At 39.7% G+C, this 12,094-nt stretch overlaps 1 long non-coding RNA gene across 2 annotated transcripts in view; it reads left to right on the top strand.

The window, feature by feature from the left end:
- Positions 1-12,094, top strand: part of FMO1-AS1 (FMO1 antisense RNA 1) — a 131,518-nt gene that overhangs the window by 3,575 nt on the left and 115,849 nt on the right. For both annotated transcript variants that reach the window (XR_922278.4, XR_001738291.3), the window contains exon 2: positions 588-734. This is a non-coding gene — a long non-coding RNA (FMO1 antisense RNA 1). The remainder of the gene's footprint in view (positions 1-587; positions 735-12,094) is intronic.

Below are 12,094 nucleotides of genomic sequence, written 5' to 3'. Positions count from 1 at the left end.
GTTCATCAGTTTTATTCTTTAAGGGGATGAGAATAAAATAAGACAATTATGTTAACAGTTACTACACCACAGATTCACTTTTAAGGGCTTTGATCCATTTCACCTTTAGGGACAATTATTATTTTTAAAAAATCATATATTACTCACATTAGTAAACTCAATTTGTAAAGGCTTTTTAAGTGCAGCTGATTGCCCAAGCACTTGGGAAATAAAAGACAGGTATATGGGAGGAGTCTGATCTTGGGAATCACAAGTCCTGGGTTCGAGTATTGCGTTCACCAGCTATTATCAGAGTCATGTTGGAAAAATTGTATAACTTTTCTCAGCTTTAGTTTCCTCAATTTAAAATAGGCATGATCGAGTGGCTGCCAGGGGCTGGGGAAAGAAGGGAATGGGGAAGGATTGCTAATGAGTATGGAGTTTTCTTTTGGGTGTGATGAAAGTGTTTTGAAACTGGATAGAGGTTGTGGTTACACAGCATTATGAATGTACTAAATGCCACTGAATTCTATACTTTGAAATGGTTAACGACAGATTGTTGGAAAATGGTGGATAGGAGGCAGGACTAACTTGCAGTTTCCACGCAGACAGACAGAACAGCATGTGGAGACTCACACAGTGAAATTTTCCTCCAAGAAGTACTGCATGAACATACCAGGAAAACCAAAAGAATTCACAGGACCTTTGAAAGAAGTGGCTTGCCGCTGCAAACTCCATGAGACAGCTGAAAAACTGTGAGTGCCCAAAGTGTGAGTGGGGGAAAAAATCTGCCTCCAAACACGCAAACCCACTAGGGAACCTAAAAATCCAGATCACAGGAGAAGGATTTAACCTTACCTAGAGCTGGGATGAATTTAGAGAGCAAAACGAAATATAAAAGTAGAAGCAGTGGGAAGAGCCCTGTAGGTACTCTTGGTGCCCAGGGAAGTCATTTCTGACTTTATCTCACAGGGGTCCTTGAGGAGGGCTGCCAGTGAAATTGAGGAAGGACCACAGGGAGAAGGAAACTTCCAGCTGAACTTTGTAATAGTTTTGACTATTAGCCTGAGAAACACGAATACTTATCCAGGAGACCTTAGGGCAATCTTGCATTCTCCCTATACTACCGCAGCTGATGCTGTCTTGAAAATGAGGAAAAGGAGTCATTATACAAAAAAGATACTTGAACACACTTGTTTATAGCAGCACAATTTGCAATTGCAAAAAATGAAACCAGCCAAAATGCCCATCAATCAATGAGTGGATAAATAATTCGTGGTATATACATACCATGGAATACTACTCAGCCATAAAAAGGGATGAAATAATGGCATTCACAGCAACCTGGATGGAGTTGCAGACCATTATCCTAAGTGAAGTAACTTGGGAGTGGAAAACTGAACATTCTATGTTCTCACTCATAAGTTGGAGCTAGGCTATGAGAATACAAAGGCATAAAAATGATACAATGGACTTTGGGGACTTGGGGGTAAGTGTTGGAGTGGGGGGTGATGCATAAAAGACTACACATTGGGTATAGTGTACACTGCTCAGATGATGGGTGCACCAAAACCCACAAATCACCATTAAAGAACTTATCCAGGTAACAAAACACCACCTGCTCCCCCAAAAGCTATTGAAATAAATAAAATAAAAAATTCTAAAAAATAAATAAAACAGGCATAATAACATCTGCATCAGATAGTTGTGGTGGGGATTAGATGAGATAATCTATGTCAAGAGATTTGTGTATATATAGTAAATACTGTGTATGATTGTAATGATGATAATGATGATGATGATGATGCTGTCATTGTTGGACCAGATAAGGTGTCTTGATTGCTGGTTCATAACACTGAAATGACTCCCACAGGTACAGAGAATAAATTCCATGAGAGGTTGGTGGACTGAAGCAGAGAGAAATTTCTGAAAGAATATGTCTTTTTCCTTGATTTTCAACATGGTATAACCCTTTGACCTGGAGGTCCTGTGTATCACTGAGTATACTGCTTGCTCATTGGGCTCACCTTTTGCCTCATTTCTGGCTTATTAAGTATTCAGCACAGAGACAGCATTGTTAGCTCTGTGAAATTCAGCTGCTTTGCTGCAGCTATGAAAATAATAATATTTGGATGATTTCAAGCTTAATTATACCCAGAGAGTAAGCCTTTAAAATGACTATTAGTTCAAGTATGTTTTCAAAAATCAGAATATGTTTGATTTGTAATTTACCTTGGTGTGCAGCATATACACATCAAGGTAAGTATGTAAGTACTGGGATTTGGTACACTAATGGTGGGACTTAACTTGTCCCTGGGCCTTACCAGGCATGCTGCTAACATAAGGAGAATCACAGGACTTTAAACTGTTGGTTGAGAATAAGATGATGATTTTATTATATCATCTCATTTTCCATAATCAGCAAGAGACTTGTAGTAATTAAAAATGAGAAGACCGGCCTTCGGTGGCAACTTCAGTTTCTGCTATTTTTAGGGATTTTTGTTAGTCAGTTATACTCTAGGCCATGGGATAAGGAAGGATATGTAGTCCCCTTATTCGAGTGGACCTAGACCCTAAGAAGCTGAATTGGTAGACAATAATGCTCTTTAGGAAATATTCTGGACCTCCTACCTTCAGGGAAGATGAATGGTAGGATTGTTCTTCTTGGCCCTCTAGCGGTTGGTTGGGAGGAATGTGACTCGTTCTGGTCAAAGAACTGTGAGCTAGAGTAAGGTGTCCTTTCTGGGCTAGAGCACTTAATTGCCAGTAAGATTCCATAGAACTTTCTTTTCCTTCAGTGTGGTAATCAGCAACTTTCAAGATGGCTCTTCTATTAGTCCGAATACCTGGTGAATGTGATGAGCAGGGCCTACACTAATGGACACATACATGAAATAATCTTTGTTTTATTTCAAGGTATCGAGGTTTGGGGATTGGTTGTTAATGCATCATACCAAGTCTTTATTGATCAATGCACTAGAGGGATGTTTCTTAGCTCCTTCATTGTATTTCTCAATCATCTTCTTTTTTAAAAAGTATATTTTTTATTTCGATAGGTTTTTAGGGAGCAGGTGGTGTTTGGTTACATGAAAAAGTTCTTTAGTGGTGATTTGCGAGATTTTGGTGCACTCATCACCCAAGCAGTGTACACTGTACGCAATGTGTAGTCTTTTATGCCTCACCTCCCTCCTGCCCTTTCCCCTAAGTCCCCAAAGTCCATCGTATCATTCTTATGCCTTTGCATTCTCATAGCTTAGCTCCCACTTATGAGTGAGAACATACAATGTTTGGTTTTCCATTCCTGGGTTACTTTACTTAGAATAATGGTCTCTAACTCCATCCAGGTTGCTGCAAATGCCATTATTTTGTTCCTTTTTTTATGGTTGAGTAGTGTTCCATGGTGTGTGTGTGTGTGTATATATATATATGTATCATAAATTATTATCCACTCATTGATTGATGGGCATTTGAGCTGGTTCTATATTTTGGCAATTGCAAATTGTGGTGACGTAAACATGCTTGTGCAAGTATCTTTCTTGTGTAATGACTTCTTTTCCTCTGGTTAGATACCCAGTAGTGGGATTGCTGAATCAAATGGTAGAACTACTTTCAATTCTTTAAGGAATCTCCACACTGTTTTCCATAGTGGTTGTACTACTTTAAATTCACACCAGCAGTGTAAAAGTTTTCCCTTTTCACCACATTCATGCCAACATCTATAATTTTATATTTTTAAAATTATGGACATTCTTGCAGGAGTAAGGTGGTATTGCATTGTGGTTTTGATTTGCATTTCCCTGATCATTAGTGATGTTGAACATTTTTCCATATGCTTGTTGGCCATTTGTATATCTTCTTTTGAGAATTGTCTATTCATGTCTTTAGCCCACTTTTTGATGAGATTGTTCGTTTTTTCCTGCTGATTTGTTTGAGTTCCTTGTAGATTCTGGATATTAGTCTTTTGTTTTATGTATAGATTGCAAAGATTTTCTCCCACTCTGTGGGTTGTCCGTTAACTCTGCTAATTATTTCATTTGTTGTGCAGAAGCTTTTTAATTTAATTAAGTCCAATCTATTTATCTTTGTTTTTGTTGCATTTGCTTTTGGCTTCTTGGTCATGAAGTCTTTGCTTAAGTCAATGTCTAGAAGAGTTTTTCTGATGTTATCGTCTAGTATTTTTATGGTTTCAGGTGTTAGATTTGTCTTTCATTCATCTTGAGTTGTCAACCATCTTCTTCAGTCTCACTTCCATTACTCTATTTCACTTCTCTGATTCACAGTTAGAGCCACAGAATTTTAGAGCTGAAAGAGAGCACAGAATTTACTTAGTCTGAAAATTGGACCCACCCCGTGAAATTGTTTTTCTCTCTACAAAAAACAAAGTTAAGACAAACACAATTCCCTAACTCACAACTTCCCGCTACACTCGAAGCATCAAAGGTCCCCTACCTACACAGATCTTCCCCACAGATACCTGTCATTCTAAAATGTGAGTGTTTGTTTTTTAATGCCACACATTAAAGGAAGTAATTCCCTCTGTTCCTTACACCTCGAGGTTATTATTTTTCTTTTCCTGAGAACCCACCTTTAGAATGAAAGCACTGAAAGTGGAGTTGGAGGGAGAACCAAGACTACTTAAGGCCAATTATTATGCTTGAAATGAGTTTACTAGTGTCAGTAGTGGTGATTCAGTGACTCACATATCCACTATCTGAAGATTGGAGGAAACAGCCACTTTTATGTTTTTCTTTTTAAGAATTTCTTTAAACATCTTTATAGCTTGATAAACATTTGTGACAAAGCCTGCAACTGTACGTTAGAAACTATCTTATCTATCATATCACTTAGAATTCTATCTTGAGTCTGCCTAAGGGGTTTGTAATTAATACAAAAGGTATTACATGGTATCATTTTTTAAAATTTTTTCTAAAAAAATGGGTACATGTGCAGAATGCGTGGGTTTGTTACATAGGTATACATGCGCCATGGTGGTTTGCTGCATCGTCTAAGTTCCCTTCCCTCACTCCTCACCCCCAACAGGCCCTGGTGTCTGTTGTTGCCCTCTCTGTGTCCGTATGTTCTTATTGTTCAACTCCCACTTATGAGAGAGAACAAATGGTATTTGGTTTTCTTTTCCTGTGTTAGCTTGCTGAGGATGATAGCTTTCAGCATCATCCATGTCCCTGCAAAGGATATGATCTCATTCCTTTTATAGTATCCCATGCTGTATATATGCCACACTTTCATTATCCAGTCTATCATTGATGGGCATTTGGTTTGGTTCCATGTCTTTGCTATTGTAAATGGTGCTGCAATAAATGTGTGCATGTGTCTTTACAGTAGAATAATTTATATTCCTTTGGGTATATATCCAGTATTGGAATTCTAGGTCAAATGTTATTTCTGGTCCTAGATCCTTGAGGAATCACCATACTGTCTTCCACAATGGTTGAACTAACTTACATTCCCACCAACAATGTAAAAGCATTCCTATTTCTCCACAGACTCACCAGTATCTATTGTTTCTTGACTTTTTAATAATTACCATTCTGACTAGTGTGAGATGGTATCTCTTTGTGGTTTTGATTTGTATTTCTCTAATGATCAGTGATGTGGAGATTGTTTTCATGTTTGTTAGCTGCATAAATGTCTTCTTTTGAGAAGTGTCTGTTCATATCCTTTGCCCACTTTTTGATGGGGTTGTTTTTTTTCTTGTAAATTTGTTTAAGTTTCTCGTAGATTCTGGATGTTAGAGCTTTGTCAGATGGATAGATTGCAGAAATTTTCTCCCATTCTCTAGGTTACCTGTTCACTCTGATAATAGTTTCTTTTGTTGTGCAGAAGCTCTTTAGTTTAATTAGATCCCATTTATCAATTTTGGCTTTTGTTGCAATTGCTTTTGGCGTCTTAGTCATGAGGTCTTTGCCCATGCCTATGTCCTGTATGGTATTGCCTAGGTTTTCTTCTAGGGTTTTTAAGGTTTGTGGTTTTACATTTAAGTATTTAATCCAACTTGAGTTAATTTTTGTATAAGGCTTAAGAAGTGTCCACTTTCTGTTTTCTGCCTATGGCTAGCCAGTTTTCCCAGCACCGTTTACTGAATAGGAGATCCTTTCCCCATTGCTTGTTGTTGGCAGGTTTGTCAAAGATCAGATGGTTGTAGATGTGTGGTGTTATTTCTGAGGTCTCTGTTCTACTCCATTGGCCTATATGCCTGTTTTGGTACCAATACCATGCTATTTTGGTTACTGTAGCCTTGTAGTATAGTTTGAAGTCAGGTAGTGTGTTTCTTCTAGCTTTGTTGTTTTTGCTTACAATTGTCTTGGCTATACCGGGTCTTCTTTGATTTCTTATAAAGTTTAAAATAATTTTTTAAATTCTGTGAAGAATATCAATGGGAATAGCATTGAATCTGTAAGTTATTTTGGGCGGTATGGCCATTTTCATGATAGTGATTCCTCCTATCCATGAGGATGGAATGTTTTTCCATTTGTTTGTGTCCTCTCTTATTTCCTTGAGCAGTAGTTTGTATTTCTCCTTGAAGAGGTCCTTTACATCCCTTGTTAGCTGTATTCCTAGGTATTTTATTCTCTTTGTAGCAATTGTGAATGGGAGTTTGTTCATGATTTGGCTCCCTGCTTGTCTATTGTTGGTGTAAAGGCATGCTTGTGATTTTTGCACATTGATTTTGTATCCTGAGATTGCTGAAGTTGCTTATCAGTTTAGAGTTTTGGAGTTGAGATCATGAGTTTTCTAAATGTACAATTATGTCATCTGCAAACAGAGACAATTTGACTTCCTCTCTTCCTATCTGAATACACTCTATTTCTTTTTCTTTCCTGATTGCCCTGGCCAGAACTTCCAATACTCTGTTGAATAGAAGTGGTGAGAGAGGGCACTCTTGTCTTGTACCAGTTTTCAAAGGGAATGGTTCCATCTTTTACCCATTCAATATGATATTGACTGTGGGTTTGTCATAAATAGCTCTTATTTTGAAATATGTTCCATCAATACCTAGTTTATTGAGAGTTTTAACATGAAAGGATGTTGAATTTCATCAAAGGCTTTTTCTACATCTCTTGAGACAATCATGCGGTTTTGTCTTTGGTTCTGTTTATGTGATGGTACCTTTATTGATTTGCACATGTTGAACCAGCACTACCTCCCAGGAATGAAGCTGGCTTGATCGTGGTGGATAAGTTTTTTGATGTATTGCTGGATTCAGCTTGCCAGTATTTTATTGAGGATTTTTGCATTGATGTTCATCAGGGATATTGGCCTGAAGTTTTCTCTTTTTGTTGTGTCTCTGCCAGGCTTGGTATCAGGATGATGCTGGCCTCAAAATATGGGTTAGGGAGGAGTCCTTCCTTTTCAATTGTTCAGAATAGTTTCAGAAGGAATGGTACCAGCTCCACTTTGTGTTTCTGGTAGAACTCAGCTGTGAATCTATCTGGTCCTGGGCTTTTTTTGGTTAGCAGGCTATTAATTACTGCCTCAATTTCAGAACTTGTTATTAGACTATTCAAGGATTCAACTTCTTCCTGGTTAGGAGGGTGTATGTGTCCAGGAATTTATCCATTTCTTCTAGATTTTCCAGTTTATTTGCATAGAGGTGTTTATATTATTCTCTGATGGTAGTTTGTATTTCTGTGGGGTCAGTGGTGATATCCCCTTTATCATTTTTTATTGTGTCTATTTGATTTTTCTCTCTTTTCTTCTTTATTGGTCTAGCTAGCAGTCTATTTACTTTGTTAATCTTTTCAAAAAACCAGCTCCTGGATTCATTGATTTTTTTTTTTGAAGGTTTTCTTTGTGTCTGTATCTCATTCAGTTCTTCTCTGATCTTAGTTATTTCTTGTCATCTGCTAGCTTTTGGATTAGTTTGTTCTTGCCTTTCTAGCTCTTGTAAGTGTGGTGTTAGGGTGTTTTTTTGAGATCTTTCAACTTTCTGATGTGGGCATTTAGTGCTATAAATTTTCCTCTTAACACTGCTTTAGCTGTGTCCCAGAGATTCTGGTACATTTTCTCTTTGTGCTCATTGGTTTCAAAGAGCTTCTTGATTCTGCCTTAATTTCATTATTTACCCAGGAGTCATTCAGGAGCACGTTGTTGAATTTCCATGTAACTGTGTAGTTGAGTGAGTTTCTTAATTCTGAGATCTAATTTGATTGCACTTTGGTTTGAGAGACTGTTATGATTTCAGTTCTTTTGCATTTGCTGAGGAGTGTTTTACTTCCAATTATGTGGTTGATTTTAGAATAAGTGCTATGTGGCACTGAGAAGAATGTATATTCCATTGATTTGGGGTAGAGAATTCTTTAGACATCTACTAGGTCCACTTGATCCAGAGCTGAGTTCAAGTCCTGGATATCCTTGTTAATTTTCTGTCTTGTTGATATGTCTAATACTGACAGTGGGATGTTAAAATCTCCCACTATTATGGTATGGGAGTCTAAGTCTCTTTGTAGGTCTTTGAGAACTTGTTTTATGAATCTGGGTGCTCCTGTATTGGGTGCATATATATTTAGAATAGTTAGCTCTTCGTGTTGAATTATTCCCTTTACCATTATGTAATGCCCTTCTTTATCTTTTTTTATCTTTATTGGTTTAAAGTCTGTTTTGTTAGAGACTAGGATTGCAATCCTTGCTTTTTTTCACTTTTCATTTGCTTGGTAAATTTTCCTCCATCCCTTTATTTTGAGCCTGTGTGTGTCTTTACGTGTGAGATGGGTCTCCTGAATATAGTACACAAATGGGTCTTGACTCTTTATCCAATTTGCCAGTCTGTGTCTTTCAATGGGGCATTAGTCCATTTACATTAAGGCCAATTACATGTGTGAATTTGATCCTGTCATTATGCTGCTATTTGGTTATTTTGCACACTAATTGATGTAGTTTCTTCATAGTGTCATTGGTTTTTATATTTTGGTTTGTTTTTGCATTGGCTGGTACTGGTTTTTCCTTTCCATATTTAGTGCTTCTTTCAGGAACTCTTGCAGGGCAGGCCTGGTGGTAACAAAATCCCTCAGCATTTGTTTGTCTGGAAAGGATTTTATTTCTCCTTTGCTTGTGAAGCTTAGTTTGGCTGGATATGAAATTCTCAGTTGAAAATTATTTTATTTAAGAATGTTAAATATTGGCCCCCAATCTCTTCTGGCTTGCAGAGTTTCTGCTGAGAGGTCCACTGTTAGTCTGATGGGCTTCTCTTTGTAGGTGACCTGGCCTTTCTCTCTGGCTGCCCTTAACAGTTTTTCCTTCATTTCGACCTTGGAGAATCTGATGATTATGTGTCTTGGAGTTGGTCTTCTCATGGAGTATCTTTGTGGTGTTCTCTGTATTTCCTGAATTCGCATGTTGTCCTGTCTTGCTAGATTTGGTAAGTTTTCCTGGATAATATCTTGAAGTGTGTTTTCCAGCTTGTTTCCATTCTCCTCATCTCCCTCTGGTACTCCAATCAATTGTAGCTTTGCTCTTTTTATAAAGTCCCATTTTTTTTGAGGGTTCGTTTATTCATTTTCATTCTCTTCCTCTAGTCTTGTCTGCATGCCTTATTTCAGCAAGGTGGTCTTCAAACTCTGATATCCTTTCTTCTGCTTCATCTATTTGGCTATTGATACTTGTGTATGCTTCATGAAGTTCTCATCGTATGTTTTTCAGCTCCATCAGATTGTTCATGTTCCTCTCTAAACTGATTATTCTAGTTAGCAATTCCTCTAACCTTTTATCGAGGTTCTTAGCTTCTTTGCATTGGGTTAGAACATACTCCTTTAGCTCAGTGTAGTTTTTTATTACCCATCTTCTGAAGCCTAATTCTGTCAATTCATTCAGCTTATCTTCTGTCCAGTTCTGTGCCCTTGATGGAGAGATGTTGTGATTATTTGGAGGAGAAGAGGCACTCTGGCCTTTTGGGTTTTCAGCATTTTTTTGTTGATTATTTCTCATCTTTGTGAGTTTGTCTAGTTTTGGTCTTTGAGGCCGCTGACCCTTGAATGGGGTTTTTGTGGGGGCTTTTTGTTGTTGTTGTGATTCGGTTGTTGTTGCTTTCTGCTTGTTTGTTTTTCTTTCAATGGTCAGGTTCCTCTTCTGTAGGGTTGCTGCAGTTTGCTGGGGGTTCACTTCAGGTCTTATTCATCTGATTCGCTCCTGTGCCTGGAGATATCACTCAAGGAGGCTGGAAAATAGCAAAGATGGGTGCCTGCTCCTTCATCTGGGACCTCTGACCTCTAGGGGCACCAACCTGATGCCAGTAGGATTGCTCCTGTATGGGGTGTCTGACAACTGCTGTTGGAGAGTCTCACTCACGTGGGTGGCATGGGGAACAGGACCCCTTTAATGGAGCACTTTGTCCCTTGGTGGAGGGGGTGTGCCTCACTGGGGGAAACCCAGTCATCTGGACTGTATGGATTCCTCAGAACTACCAGGAAGAAAGGCTGTCTTCTGGTTTGCGGAGACTGTAGCCACATCTCCTGCTAGTGGCTAAGGCCCCAGGGAATCTGCATTCTGTCTCTGAGCCTCTGGCTGGAGTTATTGGAGTTCCTGCAAGGAAGCCCCACCCATTGAAGAAGGATGGGTCAGGGTCAGGCCTGAAGAGGCACTCTGCCTGCAGACTGCCACAGCTGGTGTGTTGGGCTGTGGGGGACAAGTCTTGGGAGCAAGCTGTCCAGCCTCCCTGGCTCCAGCAGGGGACAAGCACAGCCTGGGGCTATAGAGATGGGTGCTGCCCTTCCCTCTGCCAGGGAGCTCAGTGTGTTAGGCAGTTGTGAGTCCCAGTGCTGGCTGCTGCCCCTCCCGCAAGGAGCTCAAATGGCTTAGACAGCAGGCAGATGCAGCCATGATGCTGATCGGCCCTCCCCCTGGGAGCTCCATAGGCTTAAGCAGATTCCAGCGGCAAGGCTGTTAAGAGTCTGCATGTCCTGGGGTTGGGATGCTAGGCCCAGGTGATGTGTGTTCATGAGTGAAATTCTTTGATCCATGGGTTGCACAGTTCCATGGGAAAAGCACAGTTTTCCCAGCTGGGTAATACGCTCACCGCCCCCCTTGGCTAGGCAGAGGGGGCTCCCCAGCCCCATGTGGCTCTCAGGTGGGCCACCATACTACACTGTTCTTCCTTCTCTCAGTGGGTCAAACCAGCGTCCTAATCAGTTCTGGTGAGAGAACCTGGATACCTTGGTTGCCAGTGAAGGATTCACATGCATATTTGTTGTGTGAAGTCAGGGACCCTGAACAGAGGGACCAGCTGGATCAGCAGCAGAGGGACATAAATTGTGAAGATTTCATGGACATTTATCAGTTCCCAAATCATAGTTTTATAATTTCTTATGCCTGTGTTTACTTTAATCACTTATATCTTCATAAGCTGAGGATGTACATTACCTCAGGACCACTGTGATAATTGTGTTAACTCTACAAATTGATAGTAAAACATGTGTGTTTGAACAATATGAAATCAGTGCACCTTGAAAAAGAACAGTATAACAGCGATTTTTATGGAACAAGGGAAGACATACATAAGGTCTGACCGCCTGTGGGATCTGGCAAAAACAGCCATATTTTTCTTCTTGCAGAGAGGCTATAAATGGACCTGCAAGTAGGAGAGACATCACTAAATTCTTTTCCTAGCAAGGAATATTAATATTAATACCCTGGGAGAGGAATGCATTCCTGGGGGAAGGTCTATAAATGGCCACCTGGAGAATGTCTGTCTTATGCAGTTGAGATAAGGACTGAGATACACCCTGGTCTCCTGCAGTACCCTCAGGCTTACTAGGGTGGGGAAAAACTCCCCCCTGGTAAATCTGTGATCAGACTGGTTCTCTGCTCTTGAATCCTGTTTTCTGTTGTTTAAGATGTTTATCAAGACAATACATCCACCGCTGAACATAGACCCTTATCAGTGGTTCTGCTTTTTCCGGAAAGTGTCCTGTTCCCTCAGAAGCATGTGATCTTTGTTAGACCCTTATTAGTAGTTCTGCTTTTTGCCCTTTGAATCATGTGATCTTTGTACCTACTCTCTGTTCTTATACCCCCTCCCCTTTTGAAACCCTTAATCAAAACTTGCTGGTCTGAGACTCAGGCGGGCATCATGGTCCTACCGATATGTGATGTCACCCCCGAT

Source organism: Homo sapiens, chromosome 1 (assembly GCF_000001405.40).
Source record: "Homo sapiens chromosome 1, GRCh38.p14 Primary Assembly".
NCBI lineage: Eukaryota > Metazoa > Chordata > Mammalia > Primates > Hominidae > Homo > Homo sapiens.
This window is presented reverse-complemented; position numbering and strand designations above follow the sequence as displayed.